At 39.2% G+C, this 24,295-nt stretch overlaps 1 protein-coding gene across 1 annotated transcript, besides 1 other annotated feature; it reads left to right on the top strand.

Moving 5' to 3' along the window:
* The first annotated feature begins 5,312 nt into the window (after window positions 1-5,312).
* Window positions 5,313-22,539, top strand: PTCHD3 (patched domain containing 3 (gene/pseudogene)). The gene is made up of 4 exons (NM_001034842.5): window positions 5,313-6,498; window positions 7,731-7,852; window positions 16,303-16,448; window positions 20,420-22,539. Exons 1-4 carry the CDS (start codon window positions 5,410-5,412, stop codon window positions 21,364-21,366), a joined length of 2,304 nt encoding a protein of 767 aa, NP_001030014.2. The 5' UTR covers window positions 5,313-5,409; the 3' UTR covers window positions 21,367-22,539.
* Window positions 5,966-6,260: a silencer, noted in NCBI's record as "tiled region #9566; K562 Repressive non-DNase unmatched - State 20:ReprD". NCBI's record gives its function as "represses a minimal TATA promoter and a strong SV40 promoter by Sharpr-MPRA in K562 cells {active_cell/tissue: K562}" and the evidence as "EXISTENCE:reporter gene assay evidence [ECO:0000049][PMID:27701403]".
* Window positions 22,540-24,295: the final 1,756 nt, after the last annotated feature.

The following is a 24,295-nucleotide window of genomic DNA, read 5'->3' as shown; positions in this document are numbered from 1 at the left end:
TGATCTTCCATCACTGATAACCTTTCTTCCAGTTGATCGAATTGGCTACTGAAGCTTGTGCATTCATCACGTAGTTCTTGTGCCATGGTTTTCAGCTCCATCACGTCCTTTAAGGACTTCTCTGCATTGGTTATTCTAGTTAGCCATTCGTCTAATCTTTTTTCAAGGTTTTTAACTTCTTTGCGATGGTTCGAACTTCCTCCTTTAGCTCAGAGAAGTTTCATCGTCTGAAGCCTTCTTCTCTCAACTCGTCAAAGTCATTCTCTGTCCAGCTTTGTTCTGTTGCTGGTGAGGAGCTGCGTTCCTTTGGAGGAGGAGAGGTGCTCTGATTTTTAGAATTTTCAGTTTTTCTGCTCTGTTTTTTCCCCATCTTTGTGGTTTTATCTACCTTTGGTCTTTGATGATGGTGACATACAGATGGGGTTTTGGTGTGGATGTCCTTTCTGTTTGTTAGTTTTCCTTCTAACAGTCAGGACCCTCAGCTGCAGCTCTGTTGGAGTTTGCTGGAGGTGCACTCCAGATCCTGTTTGCCTGGGTATCAGCAGTGGAGGCTGCAAAACAGTGAATATTGGTGAACAGCAAATGTTGCTGCCTGATCATTCCTCTGGAAGTTTTGTCTCAGAGGAGTACCCCACTGTGTGAGGTGTCAGTCTGCCCCTACTGGGGCGTGCCTCCCAGTTAGGCTACTTGGGGGTCAGGGACCCACTTGAGGAGACAGTCTGTCCATTCTCAGAGCTCAAGCTGTGTGCTGGGAGAACCACTACTCTCTTCAAAGCTGTCAGACAGGGACATTTAAGTCTGCAGAGGTGTCTGTTGCCTTTTGTTTGGCTATGCCCTGCCCCCAGACGTGCAGTCTACAGAGGCAGGCAGGCCTCCTTGAGCTGTGGTGGGCTCCACCCAGTTCGAGCTTCCTGGCCGCTTTGTTTACCTACTCAAGCCTCAGCAATGGCGGGCTCCCCTCCCCCAGCCTCACTGCCACCTTGCAGTTTGATCTTAGACTGCTGTGCTAGCAATGAGCAAGGCTCCGTGGGCGTAGGACCCTCCAAGCCAGGCGCGGGATATAATCTCCTGGTGTGCCGTTTGCTAAGACCGTCGGAAAAGCGCAGTATTAGGGTGGGAGTGACCCGATTTTCCAGGTGCCATCTGTCACCCCTTTCCTTGGCTAGGAAAGGGAATTCCCTGACCCCTTGCACTTCCCAGATGAGGCGATGCCTCGCCCTGCTTCAGCTCACGCTTGGTGCACTGCACCCACTGTCCTGCACCCACTGTCCGACAGTCCCCAGTGAGATGAACCCGGTACCTCAGTTGGAAATGCAGAAATCATTCGTCTTCTGCATCGCTCACGCTGAGAGCTGTAGACTGGAGCTGTTCCTATTCGGCCATCTTGGAACCGCGCTGGTACTGTCTTCTTTACTTCATTCAGAGTATCATTCTTAAGAAACACTTGATAAAGCAAAACAAATAAAATAAGTAATCTCTAGTTCTAATTATCTTGAATGTTTTGCCAAACCAAATGAGATGCTGCAAAATAGGCATTTTCAATATTCCTTTCATTACAGAATATATATTTGTCCAAATAAAAATAGAAGCTTCAGACAGTTTCACTCTCATTGCCCAGGCTGGAGTACAGTGGCATGATCTCAGCTAGCTGCAACCTCCGCCTCCCGGATTCAAGCAATTCTCTTGCTTCAGCCTCCCAAGTAGCTGGGGTTACAGGTGTGCACCTCCATGCCCAGCTAATCTTGTATTTTTAATAGAGGCCAGGTTTCACCATATTGTTCAGGCTGCCCTCAAACTCCTGACCTAAAGTGATCCACCCACCTCAGCCTCCCAAGGTGCTGGGATTACAGGCGTGAGCCGCCATGCCCAGCCCAAAAATAATTCTTCTTACAAGTTCACATTCAAAAACACAATTATAAAATTTCTAATTTAAATCTTGTACAGTGTTTTATTCTCATAGCATATATTCACTTCCTTCCTCACTTTTGTAGTGACAATTTCAATGGCTTCTAATACAAATTTTGTTTTTAATAATTGAAATTTGTTAAAAGTTTCAAAACTTTAAGTTTGGTTGAAATTCTATCCAATAAACACTTTGATTAAAGATCCACAACTGATTTTGAACAAATTGCAACAAAAATGAATAGAGGACTCATTTACAAACTAGTTCAATACATTGTAAGGCACTAGATTGATTTTCAAAGTCTTTCTTCAAAGACAAGCATTTGTAAAATGTGACTGACTTTGGACAACAAACTAAAGTGCATACTTTCATGCTTCATTTTTTTTTTTTTTTTGAGACGAAGTCTCACTCTGTCACCCAGGCTGCCATGCAGTGGCACGATCTTGGCTCACTGCAACCTCTGCCTCCTGGGTTCAAGCAATTCTCCTTTCTCAGCCTCCAGAGTAGCTAGGACTACAGGCATGCACCACCATGTCCAGCTAATTTTTTGTATTTTTAGTAGAAACAGGGTTTCACCATATTAGCCAGGCTGCTCTCAAACTCCTGACCTCAAGTGATCCACCTGCCTTGGGCTCCCAAAGTGCTGGGATTACAGGTCTGAGCCACCGGGCCTGGCCATATGTCATCATTTTTTAATTCAACATTGATTTAATCACCAAATATTTGTCCTTCAATTACTTTAGATATTTTATTAGCTCATCTTCCTCCTTCTTCATGTTATTCCTCATGATTATTCACTTATATTTACAAAAAAGGGGTATTTTGCTTAATATAGGTTATAGTCCTGGCAAACCATCTAATTTAAATTTGTTTTGGATGCCTTATTTTAAATGAAGTATTATTATTGATAGTTGAATTAAAATAAGCAGGGACTGGTTTGATATACGTCTGTTTTTTGCTTTCTGATACTGCCATAGTCAGATCTACTGATGTGGATGACACAAGCGCACTGAATAGAATTCTCATTTTAACATCTGGTTAACCCTGAAGTACACCCACTGATAAACCACCTTTCTTCCAGATCTTTTTCAAATGCTATGTAATTAACACCTCTCTTTCAATGTCAACAGGTAGAGTGCTAAGTAAACTAAAGTGTGCTCAGATATGAGTGTTAGGGACAGCTATATCTTCATGGATTATCTAGTAGTAAAGCCAAACTAATCATTTTAATAAATAAGCCATGACATTTTAGTGGCTTATCACAATACAAATATATCTCTCACTCATGTAACAGTCACTACAGATGTTCCTGGTCAGTGACTAGGTATCCTGCCCATGATGCTTCAGGAACCCAGGTTCCTGCCAGCTTATGTACCACAGTTCAAGTAGGTTCCTCTGTCACCTATGTCTAGATGATGGGATGGGATAGAGCAATTCTTAAAGGTCTTGGTCTGGAAGAAACACCCATCACTTCCACTTATATTCTGTAGCTGATTACTGGTCACAAGGCCACACAAAGGAACAAAGGAGATTTGAAAATGTAATCCTTGATTGGACAGCCATATTTCAATTACAATTCCATATTATGATGGAAAGGGTAGCATAGTTTTCAGTTGGCAACTATCACTTAATGTCATTGATTCTTAACTGCCTACATTAAACTAAAATAAATTCCAGATGGATTAATATTTAAATTTTTAAAAAGCAGATAATTATTGTATTAGTCCATTAGTGCTGTTATAACAAAATATCTAAGATCCTGTTTACAAACAACAGGAATTTATTTCTTACAATTCTGGATGGGGGAAGTCCAAAATCAAGATGTTGGCAGGTTTGGTGTCTGGAGGGCCCAGCCTTTGCTTCCAAGTTGGTGCCTTGTTGCTGCACCCTCTGGAGGGAAGGAAGGCTATGTCCTCACCTGGCGAAAGAGTGGAAGGGCAAAAGGGCCTAGCTAGTTATCTCCAGCCCTTTTATAAGGTCACTAATCCCACTCATAAGAGGTCTACCATCATGACTTAATCACCCCTAAAGACTATCACATTGGGGTTTGAGTTCCAACCTTTGAATTTTGGAGGGACACATTCATTCAAATCGCAGCAATTATAATCACAAAAAAAGAAAAATTTGTTATGACAAAAAATGGAATTCATGAAAGAAAAGTATTCATTAATTGAATTGCAAAAATAAGCCATGGCAATGAGAAAAATGAGGGGAGAGGGGAGGCTTGTAACTCAGACCACAAGAAAAGTGGTCATTTCTTTAACATATAAATCAAGAAGAAAATCCCAAAATCCAATAGGAAAACTATTGAATGGAATAGGCACGCAAAAGATATGATAGTTCACTCAAAAAGGAAAGATAAGGATACTAAGCAGTACATTCAAAATTAAACCAAAGTAAGATGCCAGTGGCACAAACCACTTTGCTGACATTGTAGGATAGGCTGTGGCAAATTCATATATTGCTTATGAGGGTATAAATCAATACAACTTCTTTGGATTTTAATTTCTCAATAGCTCTAAAAATTTAAAAGAACCTATCCTTTGGCCTAGTGAATCCACTCTAAAGAATTATCTCTCACAGATATGGTTGCTGTGTACAGGTTAAAATATGATATTTATTTACTGAGCACTGTTTATAAAAGCAAATGACTAAACAATGTATGGGTCCATCAGTAAAATTCTGGCTAAATTATGTTTCATCCATACATTGGAAAAGTATAGAGCAGTTCAAAAAAATAAGATAAATCCATATGCACTGACATGTTCAAATCTTCTGCCACTGTAGATGAAAAATGTGATCTACATAACATGAATAGTGAAGTAGTATTTATGAAAAAGGTATATTTGCTATATCTTTGATATGCATGTATATGCATAGAAAGGGTTTGCAAGGATGTAGACCCACTTTTTAACACTTCTTTTAAGAGGAATGGGAGTGAAAGATTTTGATTTTTTTTTCCCCACTTTTCATTCTATGCATTTACTTCTTTTTACTAGGAGAATGTATGTACATGTTACACTTGTGGACAGAAAATAAAAATAATAACTAAGTCAAGTGTGTCAGATTCATAAAAGTCTTACTTGAAACTGTTACTGGGTGAATGCCAAGAAAGGTAAAATCTGTCACTCAGGACACGTGGAATTTCTGTGCCATTTGTGTGCATGGAAGAAACACCCACATTCTCCCAATAAATTGCGAGTCCATAGGATAGGCACGCATTTGATGGCCTTGAAGAAGCGTTCCTTGTATGTGCAGAACCCCTGAGAAACCAGGCACGCCACAAACACATTTCAGATTAGTTGGGCGACGGGGCAAACCACGTGCTCCCAACGCAGCCTCCGCTTCCGGAGCGCGGCTGGAGGGCAAACTCCCCTAGAATTTCTCCAGGAAACCGTTGGGTGGGGCCAGGAGAGCGTTGGGTGGGGCCAGGAAACCGTCTGGTGGGATCTCCGCAGCTGCTTTTCACCTGCTGTTCCTCCTGCGCTTCCTAAGAGGAAGAATCAATGCCGTGGGTGGAGCCCAAGCCCAGGCCGGGGCCGGAGCAGAAGCCCAAGCTCACCAAACCGGACTCTGCCACCGGGCCGCAGTGGTACCAGGAATCTCAGGAATCGGAGTCGGAAGGCAAGCAGCCACCCCCGGGACCCCTGGCACCCCCGAAATCCCCCGAACCCTCAGGACCCCTGGCGTCGGAGCAGGATGCACCCCTGCCAGAGGGGGACGATGCACCCCCCCGGCCGTCGATGCTGGACGATGCACCCCGCCTGCCGCTGGAGCTGGACGATGCACCCCTGCCGGAGGAGGAAACCCCCGAACCCACGGCCATCTGCAGGCACCGGCACCGCTGTCACACCGACTGCCTAGAGGGGCTGCTGTCCCGCACCTTCCAGTGGCTGGGGTGGCAGGTGGGCGCGCACCCCTGGATCTTCCTGCTGGCGCCCTTGATGCTGACAGCCGCGCTGGGCACCGGCTTCCTGTACCTACCCAAGGACGAAGAGGAAGACCTAGAGGAGCATTACACCCCTGTGGGGAGCCCGGCCAAGGCGGAGCGGCGCTTCGTGCAGGGCCATTTCACCACCAACGACTCCTACCGCTTCTCCGCCTCCAGGAGGAGCACCGAAGCCAATTTCGTCTCGCTTCTGGTGGTCTCCTACAGCGACTCACTGCTGGACCCAGCTACCTTTGCAGAAGTCAGCAAACTGGACGGCGCGGTGCAGGATCTGCGCGTGGCGCGGGAAAAGGGAAGCCAGATCCAGTACCAGCAGGTGTGCGCGAGGTACAGGGCGCTCTGCGTGCCCCCCAACCCGATCCTGTACGCCTGGCAGGTGAACAAAACGCTCAACCTGAGCAGCATCTCCTTCCCCGCCTACAACCACGGCAGGCATCCCCTCTACCTGACCGGCTTCTTCGGAGGATACATCTTGGGGGGCAGCCTAGGAATGGGCCAGTTACTCCTGCGGGCCAAAGCCATGCGGCTGCTGTACTACCTGAAGACCGAGGACCCTGAGTACGACGTGCAGAGCAAGCAGTGGCTCACCCATTTGCTCGATCAATTTACCAACATTAAGAACATCTTGGCCTTGAAAAAAATTGAGGTACCTGGTGGTGTGGGTTTACAGGGAGGCCAGGAGAAGGTGAGAGGGATGAGGAAGACTTGCTCCCCAGAATCGTAACAAAAGCACTTCCTGACTACTTTACGGGGCCCTTGCCTCTAGGCTGGGTGTGCTCTACTGTATTTGGTACTCAACCCAATTTTCTTAACACCGACGGATGCCAGAAATTGTGAATCCTTGGTAGCATTCTAGTCGATAACACAAATCCTATGTCCACCAGATGGGCCTGTTCAGTACAGACATTGATCTTCATGTTTAATTTTGGGGTTTGGTTTCTAATCAAATTACAGTATTCTGAAATTCTACTTTTAGTTAAAGTCTTCACTGGTTTGGGGGAACCCCTAAAACTTGCTTGGAGCTCATTGGGATTAAAAAACAAACCGTCTTTTAAGTAAAAGTTCCATAGCCTTAAGAAGATAACTAGCTTAGCATTTTTCAAGTTAGATACATACGAAGCAGCACCTGGCTTAGTGTGAGGTACATATTAGCTGTTCAGTTATTGGTGGATCTGCAACACTATTCAGATGTATAAATAAGCCTAGTGAAAGAGACACCTGCTGGAAAGAGCTTTCAAAGACCAGGCCCTCCTGAAATATTTATGCAACTGAAATAGTAAAAGACACTAACCTAATACAAATTTAGAAAAAGTTACAATTTCTGCAGCTATTAATGAGAACAAGATTAAACAGTTTTAGGCTGGGTGTGGTGGCTCACGCCTATAATCCCAGCATTTTGGGACACCAAGGCAGGTAGACTGCTTGAGTCCAGGGGTTCAAGACCAGCCTCGGCAACCTGGCAAAACCCCATCTCTACAAAAATTACAAAAGTTAGCCAGTCGTGGTGGTGCACACCTGTAGTCCCAGCTATTCGTAAGGCCAAGGCAGGAGGATGACTTGAGCCCAGGAGGTTGAGGGCCCTGTCTCAAAAAAAAAAAAGATTTCAAAGTTTTATATAAAATTCAGATTTTGTTTATTCAGGAGTTTTATTTAAACTTTGAATTTGAAAGAAACTTGGGGAATCCATAGATGTGTGGAAAGAAGCAAATCTACATTATTTTCTCTATTCTGAAGTCATAATCCATGTATTTTTATCTTTTGCTGAATTTTAACATACATATTGTTTCATCACTAAGATAAAGTGTTTCAATAGTTTTTGTAACTCACACACAAATATTGTAATTAAAAGCTATTTATCTGAGTATATTTTTGTGGCAGGTAGTCCACTTTACATCGCTTTCCAGACAACTGGAATTTGAGGCAACTTCTGTGACTGTGATCCCTGTGTTTCACCTGGCATACATTCTCATCATTCTGTTTGCAGTCACATCATGCTTTAGGTAAAAAGCTTTGATTAGTTTTTAAATCTCTTACTTTATGAAAAATACTTTATTGTGGTAAAATATAATAATATATATGACATAACATATGATGTTATAGCCACTCTTAAGTGTAAAATTCGGTGGCATTAATTACATCCACATTGGCATGCAACCATCACAATGATCTGTTTTCAAATATTTTGCATCATCCCAAACAAGAACTCTGTTAACATTTTGCAATAAATTCCCCATCACCACCACCACCCCCAACCCAGTGCCAGTTAACTTTAATCTACTTTGTCTCTGTGAATTTTCCTCAAGATTTCATATAGTGGAATCATATATTTATCTTTTTGTGACTGGCTCATTTCACTAGGCATAATATTTTCAAGGTTCATCCTTGTAGCGTGTATCAGAACTCCATTGCTTTTTATGGCTGAATAATACTGATTCCTTCAACTTTGTTGTTCTTCAAGATTATATAGATCATCCTAGACTCCTTGCAATTCCATATGAATTTTAGAATCAGCTTCTCTATTTCTGGGGGGGAAATGGTTGTTGGAATTTTGATGGGGATTGTGTTGAATCTGCAGATTGTTTTGAGTAGGACTGGCATTTTAAAAATATTGAGTCTGCCAACCCAGGAACTAAGGATCTTTCCATTTATCCAGGTCTTTTTAAGTTTCTTTTACCAATGTTTGCTGGTTTTCGGTGTGCAGATCCTTCACCTCCTTGGTTAAAATTATTCTTAGGTGTTTCATTCATTTAGAGCTATTTAAATAGAATTGCTTTCTTAATTTCCTTTTTGGGTTGTTCACTGCCTATGTATAGAAACACAACTAATTTTTTGGTGTTGCTCTTATATCCTGAAGCTGCGCTGAATTTGTTAACTCTAGTAGTTTTCTTCTGGATTCTTTGGTATTTTTCATATATACAATCATGTGATCTCTGAGGAGGGAGAGTTATATTTCTTCCCTTCCAATTTAGATGCTTTTTATTTTTTTTTTAATCTAATTGCTCTGGCTAGAACTTCCAGTACAACATCGCATATCAATGGGGAAAGTGGGAGTCTTTTCTGTCTTGTTTCTGATCTGATCTGATCTTAGAGGAAAGCTTTCATTCTTTCACCCTTGAGTATGATGTTAGTTTTACTATTTTTATAAATGCCTTTATTATTTTGAGGAATTTTCCTTCATATTCCTAGTTTTTTAGTGTTTTTATTATGAAAGGGTATTGGATTTTGTCAAGTGCCTTTTAAACATCTAGTGAGATGAACATGTGGTTATTGTCCTTTGTTCTATAAATATGGTATGTTACATTGACTGACTTTCTCCCGATGACCTTTCTGGGATAAATCCCAGCTGGCTATGATGTATAATCCTTTTAATACGTTTTGGATTGGACTTACTAGTATTTGTTTATGACTTTTGCACCTATATTCATGAGAGCTATTGGTTTGTAGTTTTCTTTTCTTATGATGTCATTGTCTGGTATTGTGTCAGTGTAATGATGGTCTCCCAGAGTGAGTTAGGAAATATTTCCTCGTCTTCAATTTTTTGGAAGAGTTTGAGAAGGATTCCTGTTACCTCCACTTTAGATGTTTGGTAGAATTCATCAGTGAAATCTGGTCCTGGACTTTTCTTTATTGGGAGTTTTTTTATTACTGGTTTAATCTTTTGTTATAGGCCTTGAGATTTTCTATTTCACCTTAAGTCAGTTTAGGTCATTTGTGTTTTTGTAGGAATTCATGCATTTCATCTAGGTTATCCAGTTTGTTGACATACAGTTTTTGATAATATTCTCTTATAAACTTTTCTATTTCTATAAGGTCAGTAGTAACGTCTCCGCTTTCATGTCAGCTTAAGTTATTTGTGTCTTCTCTTTTTCTTCGTGACACTAGGTAAAATTTAGTCAATTTTGTTGATATTTTCAAGTAACCAACTTTTGGATTGATTCATTCTATTGTTTTTCTATTCTGTATTCACCTCTGTTCTAATCTTTATTCTTTCCTTCCTTCTTCCTGTGGCCTGAATGTTTGTGTCCTCCCAAAATTCCTATGTGGAAACCTAATTCCTGGTGTGATAGTAATATGAGGTGGGGCCTTTGAGAGGTGATTAGAATGGGATTGATACTCTTAAAAATAATTCCGAGGGAGCTTATTAGCCCCTTCTACCATGTAAGGACATAGCAAGAAGGCACCATCTGTGGAGCAAAGAGCAAATCCTCACTGGACACCAAATCTTTGGCCCTGACCTTGGCTTTCTCAGCCTCTAGTACTGTAAGGAGCAATTTTCTGTTGTTTATAAGTTTCTCAGTCTAAGATATTTTGTTACAGTGGGCAGAACAGACTAACACACCTCTGTTAGCTTTGGGTTTGGTTTCCCTCCTTTCCCTAGATCCACAAGTTGTTATTGATTTGAAATCCTTTTTCTTTTTAATGTGGGTATTTAGCTATAAATTTCCCTCTGAGCACTATTATCACTGTATCTCATAAGTTATGGTATGTTGTGTGTTCATTTTCATTCTTAACTAAGTATTTTCTAATGTCTCTTGATTGTTTAATAGTGTATTGTTACATTTTTGTAGATTTGTTAATATTCCAGTTTTCCTATTATTGATTTTTAGCTTTATTCTATTGTTGGTTAGAAAAACGTACACTGTATAACTTCAATCATTTAAAATTTATTTAGACTTGTTTTACAGCTGAATGTATGATCTATCCTGGAGAATGTTCCATGGGCACTAGAGAAGAATGTATATTTTGCTGTCATTGGGTTGAGTCTTCTATATAATTCTGTAGGGTCTAATTGGTTTGTAGTGTTGTTCATTTCTCTATGTCCTTATTGATATTCTTCTCAGATGTTTCATGCATTGATGAAAGTGGTATATTGCATTCTCCAGTTTTTTTTCTTTTTTTTTTTTTTTTTTTTTTTGAGACAGAGTCTCACTCTGTCACCCAGGCAGAAGTGTAATGACACAATCTTGCCTCACTGTAACCTGTGCCTCCCAGGTTCAAGAAATTCTTCTGCTTCAGCCTCCTGAGTAGCTAGGATTACAGGTGTATATCACCATGCTCACCTGATTTTTGTATTTTTAGTAGAGATGGGGTTTCACCATGTTGACCAGGCTTGTCTCGAACTCCTGACCTCAAGTGATCCACCCACCTCAGCCTTCCAAAGTGCTGAAATTATAGGTGTAAGTCACCACGCCTAGTCCTCTCCAGCTATTATTGTAGAGCGCTCTATCTCCCCCTTCACTTCTGTCAATATTTACTTCATATATTTTGGGTATCTGTTATGCAGTACACATATGTTTACAGTTGTTATAGCTTCTTGGGGAATTGGCCCGTTTATCAATATATAATGTACTCCTTTGTCTCTAAGTCTGTTTTGCCTGATGTTAGTGTAGCCATTCCTGCTCTATTTTGGTTACTATTTGTGTAGAGTATCCTTTTATGTACTTTCAATCTACTTATATTTTTGGCAATAAAGTAAGTCTGTAAACAGCATATAGTTAGATCATGTTGTTTTATCCATTCTGCCAACCTGTCTTTTGATTGGAGAGTTTAATCTATTTACATTTAAGGTAATTGCTGACAAGAAAGAACTTGTAACATTTTTAAATTTATGTTCTATCTGTCTTATAACTTTTTTGTCCTTCATTTCCTCTATTATGCTTTCTTTTCTTCACATTTCTTTTTTCTTTTCAGACAGGGTCTTTTCCTGTTGCCCAGGCTGCTGTGGAGTGGCACAATCATAACTGACTGCAGCCTTGAACTCCTAAACTCAAGCAATCCTCCCACCTCAGCCTCCTGAGTAGCTGGAACTACAGGCACATGCCATCACATCTGGCTAATTTTTATTATTTTTTGTAGAGACAGGATCTTGCTGTGTTGCCTAGGCTGGTCTTGAACTCCTAGCCTCAAGTGATCCTCTCACCTCAACCTCCCAAAGTGGTGGGATTACACTGTGAGCCACCCCCATTGGTGCGTGCAGCATGAGCTACTATGCCTAGCCACATTTCAATTTTTTTTTTTTTTTTTGAGACGGAATCTCACTCTGTAGCCCAGGCTGGAGTGCAGTGGCACGATCTCGGCTCACTGCAAGCTCCACCTCCTGGGTTCACGCCATTCTCCTGCCTCAGCCTCCTGAGTAGCTGCGATTACAGGCGTGCGCCACCATGCCCAGCTAATTTTCATATACAATATTTTTTGAGTAAAATCTGCTCTGCCCCCTCCAGATCCAGTGAAACACTCTCACACTGGGAACTCAGGCTGTGACCACTTTATACTGCTGCTGCTTTGAGACTATGGCCGCTTTAAGAGTGTGACCACTTTAACACCCATGCCACTTTAAGACTTACTGCTTTAAGACTGCCACCATGCCAGAAAGGGGGGGCTTTTTTTTTTTTGGATTCATCATTCGCTTGGTTGCTGTAACTTTTCGACTATTTTCCAGGGTTCATAAAATTGGTTCTGACAGTTTCTGCTTGTTTTTTTTTTTTTTTGATAATTCTTTGAGAGGACAAGAGCTTTTTTTTCTGCCATTCTTCCTAACATCCAGTGCTAAACTCTTGTTTTTTAAACCTGGTGACTTTTAAAAACATTTTTTCCCATCAGCAATAGTGTCTAATCAAATGGAATAGTAAAAGAAATTGTGGCTGGTTTTGTTTGATTTGGCATATCTTTTTTACCTTACATATTGCATCAGTTATGATTAATTGTTCCATTTGGAAGGCAGATAAGTTGGTAGAACCAAGAAGCATGTCCTATTTCTGCTAATTTGAAATAGTACTTTTCACTATATAAAAAATTAAGTTCTAATTTAATTGACTTAAGTGTCTCCATCGTTCTGATGTGCAGTTTACCTTGTTAAGCACTTAAAAATTGTTCTCTAGGCATTAGGGGTAGTTTGTGTTCTTGAGTTCAAACTAAATATGAAAGATATCATCAAACAACAGAATTTAGATGTAGGAGGAACCCCATAGATTATATTCTAATTCTATTAAAATAAATAGATTATTTTACATCAGAGTCACCCAGAGAGCCATAAACCAGATATTCTCAGGCCCCGCCCTATCAAATTAAAATATCTTGGGGTTAAATCTGGAACTCTATATTTCAAAAATTTCTCTAGCTGATTCTTATGTGTAGGTAGGTTTAGGAACAAATAATATAATTTAACTATTTAGATGTAAGGAAAAGAAAGATGAAGTCTCAGTAGGTAAAGGGATGTGAAGACACTGGGGACCTCTTTAGGGTCAATGAACTACCTCATAATTTTGTTACTCTGGAAAGGAAGACCACATCACTTAGAAAACAAAGAAACTTTAAAAAGAAACAAAAAAACCCCACAAAATTCAGGCTATTAAAGTTAGTAGGATAAAGCATTTTAAAAATTCAGTCTACATGTTACCAATAATTGGTTTAACAAAACTTTTCTACTAGATAGTTGGTTTTGAAAATACAAACTCTAGTCAGTTCTTACATATCTTTACAAGTGATTTTGGACAATAATGCACAAAAATATTTTATTTAAGGGAATTGGAAAATGATTTATAGTTGTCTCCAAAGACTCTTCTATGCTTATGTAACCACCATATTGAACACAAGACTCATAAGGTATAAACATAAAGCAGTTGTATTTTTGTCTCCCTTTGTTTCCTGTAAGTTTGTAAGTTTACTAGGTAGAGCAAGTTCTTCCTCTGCCTCATGAAAATTCAGGCAATCCCTACGTTACGGTAATTCTTAGGCAAGACAAAAAGTCCTCCAGTCAGAATTAAAATGTCCATGTTCATGTTCATGTTCATGTCATAAACAAAAGTGGTAACTTGATTTGAAGCTAAGGTTTTTCCTCCTCTCCTAGCTGAAGCATGCTACATGGAATAGCCTTTAATGGGGAAAAAGGGATATTCCAGACCTCTCCTATCACTTCTCTCACTATCCATCTTGCTGAGTGGTTCACAGACTGGAGCATGCTCAAACAGTAGGAAAAATGGAATCGAAAAATTCTTAAGACATGAATGCTGCCATGACAGTCTAATATATGTCTTCTCTGGCTTTGAATATGAAACTGATCCTTCTGCAAGTATTGGTTTGTTTGGTGTTTTTTCTTTTTTGAGATGGAGTCTCACTCTGTCACCCAGCCTGGAGTGCAATGGCGCAATCTCGGCTCACTGAAACCTCTGCCTCCCAGGTTCAAGCGATTCTCCTGCCTCAGCCTCCTGAGTAGCTGGGATTACAGGCATGCACCACCACACCTGGCTTATTTTTGTATTTTTAGTAGAGGCGGGGTTTCACCATGTTGGACAGGCTGGTCTCGAACTCCCGACCTCAGGTGATCCGCCCACCTCAGTCTTCCAAAGTGCTGGGATTACAGGCGTGAGCCACCGCACCCGGCTGCCTGCAAGTGCTTTTGTAAGTTCCCTGGACACTTCTCGCTCCCTCTCTTTCCTTATCACAGAGGGTCTCATGTCCGTTCTGGGTGGAGCTTCCTAGACAGTTCTAGGACATATCCCCATTTTGCCTGTCTCACACACTCTCATATATGAAGGTTATACCTTGCATACCTGCCTTTAGCTCATTTAAGACACTTACTGAAACATATTTCAGGGTTCTATATTTATTGTCTTGCAATGAAGTCATTTAAATAAGACTTTTTCAAAAGTCTGTGCTCTAAATTGAACTCAATTATAGCTCATGCTATTTTATGTATAGTAATCCCCTGCTTTTCCACAGGAATACTATCCAAGACATACAACGGATGCCTGAAACCACAGATAGTCCTGAACTTTATTTATATCTAGCCAAAGTCTCTATAATCAATACTATACTTCACTCCCCTATCCTCTGAAAAATTCACACCTAAGAAATCCAGAAACTCAAAAGGAGGAATGGGCATAACCTTGTCATATATACCTTTTATCCTTTTATCCAAAATCTTTCTGATTTTGAAATTCATCTCTTTTACTTTCTTATCTTAAACTCCTATAAACCAATATTGTTGTTTTAAGAACGTATTATATTAGGCCGGGCACAGTGGCTCATGCCTGTAATCCCAGCACTTTGGGAGGCCGAGGCAGGCGGATCACCGGAGTTCAAGACCAGTCTGGCCAACATGGTGAGACCCCATCTCTACTAAAAATACAAAATTAGCCAGGTGTGGTGGCACATGCCTGTAATTCCAGCTACTCAGGTGGCTGAGGCAGGAGAATCACTTGAACCCGGGAGGCAGAGGTGGCAGTGAGCTAAGATTGCACCATTGCACTCCAGGCTGGGTGACAGAGTGAGACTCCAGCCTGGGCAAAAAAAGCAAAAGTCTGTCTCAAAAAAAAAAAAAAAAGAAAGAAAGAAAGAAAGAAAGAAAGAATTATAGTAAGAGATTTTATTATAACAAAGCAATTTACTTTTGCCCTGGAATTTATATGTGTATGTGTGTTGAGTTGGGGCCCCGACCTTAATTCATAGTACCAGGTTAAGAAAAAGTGAAATACAATAACAGTATAGACATTTTATTAAGAAGAAGAATTTTATCTATTTAAATGTGATCTCCCCTGCAGGTCTTCAGTCATGTTCCTGCTGTTTTGAAACCAGTGGCTCCAGTTCTTCAGCTCCTAGACTAAAATTCCAAACTTAGTTTCTCTCCCCTACTAAAATATCTGAATGCAGGTATCAGTCATTTGTTTTGAAGCAATTTCTAACAAGCAAAATCTAAAACCAGAGGTTGTTGCCAATCTTTTAAAAGGTAATGTTATGGTTGCTGAGGAGGTAAAGCACTGAATCATGCTTTAAAATATTTTGTATATAGTCCTGTTTCTGTTGGTTTGCCAAGGAAACAGGCACAGTTTGGGTCATTTAAAATATAGCACATTTTAATTTTTTCCAAATTCGTAGCAACTTTTCCACAGAGCCCACTTCACCAGTAGAGAAGAATCCTGAAAGTAACTTAAAAGACTTTCCTACTTTATGTTAACAACAATACACATTGTACTAACTTTGAAATACAGGAGGCATTTAATGTTGTGTTATGGCTAGTTAGAGACCAGGGATGGATAAAAAGATAATTGGATCTATGTTCTTTCTCTAGTACAGCTTGCTCTTCATTATCTGTTATATTCCATTCACACCCTTCTGAAGATCAGAGTGGAATTAGCCATTAGCAGTGTTTTAGTAATTCTTTGTGGTTCCAAAATGCTAGTCAGTGACTTAGTGCTTGGCTGGCTGCAAAGAATCACATATAGCAGAGTCGGTAGAAGTACAGATTTACAGATTTCTAACTTTTCTGCTCCCTTTCTTTCCTTTTTTTTTTTTCAGTTGTTCTGAGATAGTCCCTGGGAATTAAAGGTCTCCAGCAGATATGTGTGGAAATTACTGTCTTAGAGATTTATGACTAGGTGTCCAAGTCAAGAATGTTATCCATTGATGAAAGCTACCACCACAAATTCCATGATTTTTCCCTCCAAATTTACAGGTTTGACTGCATACGAAACAAAATGTGTGTTGCGGCCTTTGGAGTGATTTCTGCTTTCTTGGCAGTGGTGAGCGGCTTTGGCCTGCTGTTGCACATTGGGGTGCCATTTGTCATCATAGTTGCCAATTCACCATTTCTTATTCTAGGTGAGTAAAACAAAACGGGAGGCTGCACACCGTGTATGTGGTGGGGTAGGGGATATATATAAGGGAAAGAATTGTATTAAGGTGGCTCTACAGTTCAAAAATGAGGTGCCAGGAAACAGGGAAATGAAATTGAACTGGATATCTCTAGAGGTGGAAAGATCGAGTATCCTAATGGAAAAACAGACCATGTACGTGAACAGCAGTTCACATGTAAAAAACAAAATACGCGTCATTAAAAATACAGTCATGTATCACTTAACATTGAGGGTCTGAGAGATGCATCCACAGGCAATTTTAACATCGTGTAAACTTCCTAGAGTGTACTTACACAAACCTAGATTATATTTCCTACAACGCACCTAGGCTATGTGGGCCTCTTGCTCCTAGGCTACAATCCTGTACAGCATGTTACTACGCTGAAAACTATAGGTAACTGTCACACAATGGTAAGTATTTGTATATCTAAATATATCTAAACATAGAAAAGGTACAGTAAAAATATGGTAGAAAATATGAAAAATGGTCCACCTGTATAGGGCACTTATCACGAATGGAGCTTGCAAGACTGGAAGTTGCTTTGGGTGTCAGTGAATGAATGTTGAGTGAACATAAGGTATAGGACATTCCTGTACACTACTGCAGACTTTATAAACACTGGACACTTAAGCTATGCTACATTTATTTAAAAATGTATTTTTCTTTCTTCAATAATAAATTAACCTTAGCTTACTATAATTTCATTATTTTATAAACTTTAAAGTTTCTTTTAAACTTTTTTACTTTTTGTGATAACACAGCTTAAAACACAAACACAATGGACAGCTGTACAATAGTATTTTCTTTCCTTATGTCCTGGTGTAAACAAACGTGTTGCTCTGCCAGTCTTATGAAAGTATAGCACATACAATTATGTACACAACATAATAATAAACAATTGTTACTGCTTTATGTATTCACTATGCTAAATTTTATGTCATTATTTTAGAGTGTACTCTAACTTATGAAAAAAATAGTTAACTGTAAAATAGCTTCATGTAGGTTATTCAGAAAATATTTCAGAAGAAGGCATTGTTATCATAGGAGACAATTCCACGTGTCCTGAAGACCTTCCAGTGGGACAGGATGTGGAGATGGAAGACAGTGATAGCGATGATTCTGACCCTATGTAGGCCTAGACTAATGTGTGTGGTTTTTGGTTTGTTTGTTTGTTTTTTGAGACGGAGTCTCACTCTGTCACCCAGGCTGAAGTGCAGTGGCTCAATCTCAGCTCACTGCAACCTCCGCCTCCCGGGTTCAAGCTGTTCTCCTGCCTCAGCCTCCCGAGTAGCTGGGACTACAGGCATGCACTACTATGCTCATATGTGTTTTTGTATCTTAGTTTTTAATAAAAAGTTTAGAAAGTAAAAAAATAAAATAAAAATAAAGATTTTTTATTTTATTTATTTATTTATTTATTTATTTATTTTTTTGAGACAGAGTCTCGCTCTGTCGCCCAGGCTGGAGTGCAGTGGCGTGATCTTGGCTCACTGCAAGCTCCACCTCCCGGGTTCACGCCGTTCTCCTCCCTCAGCCTCCCGAGTAGCTGGGACTACAGGCGTCCGTCACCACGCCTGGCTAATTTCTTTTTGTATTTTTAGTAGAGACAAGGTTTCACCATATTAGCCAGGATTGTCTCGATCTCCTGACCTCGTGATCCGCCCACCTTGGCCTCCCAAAGTGCTGGGATTACAGGCGTGAGCCACCGTGCCCAGCCATAAATAAAGATTTTTAAAAATAGAAAAAGGCTTATAGATTAAAGATATAAGTAAAGAAAATATTTTGTACAGCTGTCCAATGTTTTTGTATTTTAAGCTGTGTTATCATAAAAAGCCAAAAACTTTTTTAAAAACTTAAAAGTTTATAAAATAATAAAGTTACAGTAAGCTAAGGTTAATTTATTATTGAAGAAAAATATATTTTAAAATAATTTTAAATTTTAAATTTAATAATTTAATTTTAAAATTTAAATTTTAAATTTTAAAAATAACCTAAGTATCTGGTGTTTATAAAGTCTACAGTTATATACAGGAATGTCCTAGGCCTCCCTGCAAACTCTACAAAATGGCTTACATTAAATCAATTATATATATCTTAACTATAGTTATTTATGGCTGTGGGGTACACTGGATGATTAGGTGTGAGTGCATACGAGGAAGGTATGCCTTGAAAAGCTAGAATAAATAAGCTAATATCCAGTACACAACTCACTATCTCCCCCAGAAAACCAAATATTAGTTTTTCCAAGATGCTTACTTTCCAAAATATAAACACCTTTATTTTCTAATGCTTACTAAAATAAATTCTGAGCTTACCAAAAATACAAAGAAAAATGGAAAACAACTGTAATTCCACCCTTCAGGGATAATTCCTGCTAATATCTTTATGTATATCCATCCAGAATTTGGTCTATGCAAATATACACATATAGCTCTCTCTCCATTTCAAATATCTTATTTTATAACAAGAAATGTTCATTTAACATTGAATATCTACCTCTTTTTAAAAAGACTGAATATGACTCTAATCTAACACTATGTTTGATTTGGCCAACCTCATATTGTTATGGGATTATGTTGTTTTCTATATTTTCCTACTATAAATTACACCAAACACTTGTCCTACTTTTGAGCATTTGTCCAATTAGGACAAATTCCTAGAAGTAGATTTGATAGTCAAAGGTACTCCCTTTTTAAGTCTTTTGCTTTGTTGCAAACTTGGACTGAAAAATTGTGTGCCAATTTCCATTTCTCCTTAGTAGACTATGAGTGTCTTCATTTGCAGAAAAACTTCCAAAAATCCTCAGTCTTGCTAATATTGATTAATAAGAAAACCAAGTGTCTCACTTGTGGTTTAATTTGCATCCCTTGATTAACTGAAAGGTCAAATATTTTTTTCTTATACCATTATGCACTACATAGCAATGTTTTGGTCAAAGATAGACTGCGTATACAAAGCAGACCACATATACAACAGTAGTCCCAGAAGGTTATAATGGAGCTGAAAAATTCCTATCATCTATTGTTATCATAGCCATCCTATTGTCATAACTCAATTCATTACTCACATGTCTGGTAGGAAGTTGGAGGGAGGTGAAATTTATCTGCAACATGCTCATGCTGCACTTTCCAGTTCCCTTTTTTTGTAATCCTCCTTCCCCAGGCTTCAGTCATGACTTGAAAATCCTCAGATGCTCTATTCCAACCAATCTGAAACATCACTGAGGAAAGGAGCTAATTATCTAGTAGGCATTAATATGTAAAGAATTCTTAAGATTTACCTTGACACATATTTCTGATCTCATTATAATGAACTGGGCAAGTGAAATTTGAATACCAACATTCTAGGTATCAGAAACAAACTAGCAGGAAAACTACATCTGTGCATGTGCCTATGTGTGTCTATAAACTATGTGGTGCCTCTCAAATCATACCACAGAGACAGCCAGATGCTAACTGTAGAACACGTTAAGTCCAGCTTATATTTCAAGCAACAGAATGTTGGCTGGCTGTGTCTGTACATGAGCATGAAATATCTTACAAGAGAAAATGATCTCTCTAGCAATCTATTGGAATCAAAGATACACGTTGCCAATGCTGCTTTGACCAATACCCATGAAGCCAGGTTTCCTGACCTCATCATGGAAACACCCTAAGTGAAGAGTAGAGTATACTGTGCTATGTGCAATAATAGGAGTATGTACAAAGCAAAGACTTATTACAAAGGAAGGAGTGATGAGTTCTGTCGTAAATTCAGAGGCAACCAGGGAAAGCATCACAGAGAAGGTAGTATTTAATCAGAGGTTGGACAAGATAAATAAAACCTTAAGAGACAGAAAAAGAAAATGGTTTGAATCAACCTGTTTAATTTTTAATGGATACTAATATGTATGAAGATGAAGATTCTGTTTCTTTTCTTTTTTTTTTTTTTTACAGGTGTTGGGGTCGATGACATGTTTATCATGATTTCTGCCTGGCATAAGACCAACCTTGCAGATGACATACGAGAGCGGATGTCCAATGTCTATTCAAAAGCGGCAGTGTCTATTACAATCACCACCATCACTAACATCCTGGCCTTATATACAGGGATTATGAGCTCTTTTAGGTCTGTACAATGTTTTTGCATCTATACAGGAATGACCCTGTTATTTTGCTATTTTTATAACATCACGTGTTTTGGAGCATTTATGGCCTTGGATGGTAAAAGAGAAGTAGTCTGCCTATGCTGGTTGAAAAAGGCTGACCCAAAATGGCCCTCATTTAAAAAGTTCTGCTGTTTCCCATTTGGTTCTGTCCCAGATGAACATGGAACTGATATCCATCCAATAAGTTTGTTTTTTAGAGACTATTTTGGCCCCTTTCTCACAAGGAGTGAGTCCAAGTATTTTGTAGTCTTTATATATGTTTTGTACATCATAAGCAGTATATATGGGTGTTTCCATGTGCAGGAAGGTTTAGACCTTCGAAATCTGGCAAGTGACGATTCCTACATCACACCATATTTTAACGTAGAGGAGAATTATTTTTCAGATTATGGTCCCAGGGTTATGGTTATTGTTACTAAAAAAGTTGACTACTGGGATAAAGATGTTAGGCAAAAACTGGAAAACTGTACTAAAATTTTTGAAAAAAATGTCTATGTAGATAAAAATCTTACAGAGTTTTGGTTAGATGCATATGTGCAATATTTAAAAGGTAACAGCCAAGATCCTAATGAGAAGAATACTTTTATGAACAATATTCCTGATTTTTTAAGCAATTTTCCAAATTTTCAGCATGATATTAATATTTCTTCATCAAATGAAATCATTTCTTCCCGGGGCTTCATTCAGACAACAGATGTTTCTTCCTCAGCCAAAAAGAAAATATTGTTATTCTAATTACGACGCATAGCTGAAGACTGTCAAATTCCCCTAATGGTGTATAACCAGGCATTTATATATTTTGATCAGTATGCTGCAATATTAGAAGACACTGTTAGAAATGTATTGGTTGCATCAGCAGCTATGTTCATTGTTTCCTTATTGTTAATCCCTTATCCATTGTGTTCCTTGTGGGTGACTTTTGCTATTGGTTCTGTGATTGTAGGGGTAACGGGTTTCATGGCATTCTGGAAAGTCAATCTTGATTCCATATCCATGATTAATCTTGTCATTTGTATAGGGTTTTCTTTCGATTTTTCTGTACACATTTCCTATGCATTTGTTTCTAGTTCTCAACCCTCAGTAAACCAAAAATCAGTTGAGGCATTGTATCTTCTAGGCTACCCAGTGTTACAAAGTGCAATTTCAACAATAATAGGGGTGTGTGTTTTAGCTGCAGCGAAAGCATACATCTTCAGAACATTTTTTAAGATTATGTTTCTTGTTATGATATTTGGGGCAGCTCATGGCCTAATTTTTATTCCAGTATTCTTAACCTTTTTTGGAAGGTTTATTTGAATATCCACTAACAAGTCAAAGACCAATTCTAGAATTCCTGATTGCCCTATTCCAATCTGATTTTTTTAAATGCACTATTAAGAATAGTCAACAAACTACTGGGAGGCCAAGGTGGGTGGATCACCTGAGGTCAAGAATTCGAGACCAGCCTGGCCAACATGGTGAAACCTCGACACTACTGAAAATACAAAAATTATCCAGGCATGGTGGCGTGCACCTATAATCCCAGCTACCTGGGAGGCTGAGGCAGGAGAATCGCTTGAACCTGGGAGATGGAGGTTGCAGTGAGCTGGAGTGCACCAGGCACTCCAGCCTGGGTGACAAGAATGAGACTCCGTCTCAGAAAAAAAAAAAAAAGTCAACAAACCAAAAACAAGGGCATGTTTCCTTGACTTGGAAATCCCATTTTAAATTATTATTTAAAATATACTGATAAAAATTAATTAGTCTTATGTTAAAATATCTTCACTAAATTAGGAAGTGTTATCTTTCTTACAGTCTTTACAATCAAGTACAAGGTACAACTTTTCTGTTATTTTTTCCCTTTATATTTATGCCTGAAATTCAACTATTGTATGTATTGTTCATACTATAAATGGAATATTATTTTCATTGCACTTGCTACATGCATTCATATGTGAAAATGCATCTTATCATTTATTTTCCCATTCAGGGGCTTTTCTATGCATTTTGTTAATGGTATATTTCGATAAGAAGTTTTTAAAGTTTATAAATCCAATTTATCATATTTTTTTCATGGTTAGTGCCTTCTTATCCTAAGAAATATTTTGACTACTCCAAGGTTACAATTAAAGTCATCTCTGTTTTCTCCTCTAAGCTAATAGTTTTGATCTTACATTTAGGCCTGTGATCCATACGCATGTATTTGTTGGGCAGTATCGATAGAGGTCCATTCCCTTTTCATAAAAGCTGCCCATTTGTCTCAGCATCATTTGTGAAAAGACTGTCATTCAGGATAGGATTAACTTGGCATCTATATAAAAAAAAAATCAGTTGACAATATATGTGTGGTTCTAATTCTGTGCCATCGATCTGTTTGTCTGCTCTAAGGCCAATACCACCACACAGCCTTCATTACTGAAGCTTTTTATTAATTACTGAAATTAGGCTGTGTATGTTGTCCACTTTTATTTTTATTAATCTTTCTGATTTCAAAGTTTATCTTTGTTACGTTCTTTTTTTTTTTTTTTTTTTTTTTGAGACAGAGTCTCACCCTGTCACTAAGGCTGGAGTGCAGTGGTGCGATCATAGCTCACTGCACCTAAAACTCCTGGGCTCATGTGATCCTCCTGCCTCAGCCTCTGAGTAGCTGGGACTACAGTCATGCCATTACATCTGACTAATTTTTTGTTTTAATTTTTTTTTAAGAGACAGGGTCTTTCTGCATTGGCCAGGCTGGTCTTGAACTCTTGGCCTCAAGCAATTCTTCCGCCTCAGCCTCCAAAACTGCTGGGATTACAGGTGTGAGCCACCATACCAACACTTGGTTACTTTTTTATCTTAAACTCTATAAACCAACATTGCTTTTTTTAAAGAAGGTATTCATCATCATAAAACTATACTGTAACAAAGCAATTCACTTTTACCCTGGAACTTGTTGGTTTTGGGCCTTGAATTTAACTCATCACACCAACCAATGGGTTGGGAAAAGTGAAAAACAGCAACAGTGTAGAAGTTGTATTAATGATTAGAAACGCTGGCTATTTAAATGTGACCTTGCCTAAAGGCTTTAGCCATGTTTTTGCTGTTTTGCAATCAGTGGCTCCAGCTCCTTAGTTATCTCTCCTAGACGTCAATTCCAAATTAGTTTCTTTTCCTCACCAAAAATATTTGGGGTGATGTCAGCATAAACGGGGTAGAATGTAGCTCCAAGAGCCCATTTCATCACAAAAATAAAAAAATTGAAAAATGCAACAACTGTTAGAAAAGACTCTAATTGAACTCTGAAAACGGTCCAAGGTTTACACCAACCAAGTGGACACCAAATCAGAAAAAAAGCAACTTAAAAATGGTAGGAAAATTTTGTGGCGTTTTTATTTGCCCTTGTCTCACACCCCCCTCCCTGGCTTGATAGTGATGGTGGTCCTAAGAAGGTAGCCTAGGCCAGGCAGGGTGGCTCAGGCCTGTAATCCCAACACTTTGGGAGGTCGAAGAGGGGGGTGGATCACCTGAGGTCAGGAGTTCGAGACCAGCTTGCCAACATGGTGAAACCCCATCTCTACTAAAAATACAAAAATTAGCCAGGTGTGGTGGCACGCGCACCTGTAATTGCAGCTACTCGGAGGCTGAAGCAGGAGAATTGCTTGAGACCCGGGAGGCAGAGGTTGCAGAGAGCTGAGATCGCGCT

This window comes from Homo sapiens, chromosome 10 (genome assembly GCF_000001405.40).
Source record: "Homo sapiens chromosome 10, GRCh38.p14 Primary Assembly".
NCBI classification, from domain to species: domain Eukaryota; kingdom Metazoa; phylum Chordata; class Mammalia; order Primates; family Hominidae; genus Homo; species Homo sapiens.
Note: the sequence above shows the minus strand (reverse complement) of the source record. Positions and strands in the feature narration are given on the sequence as shown.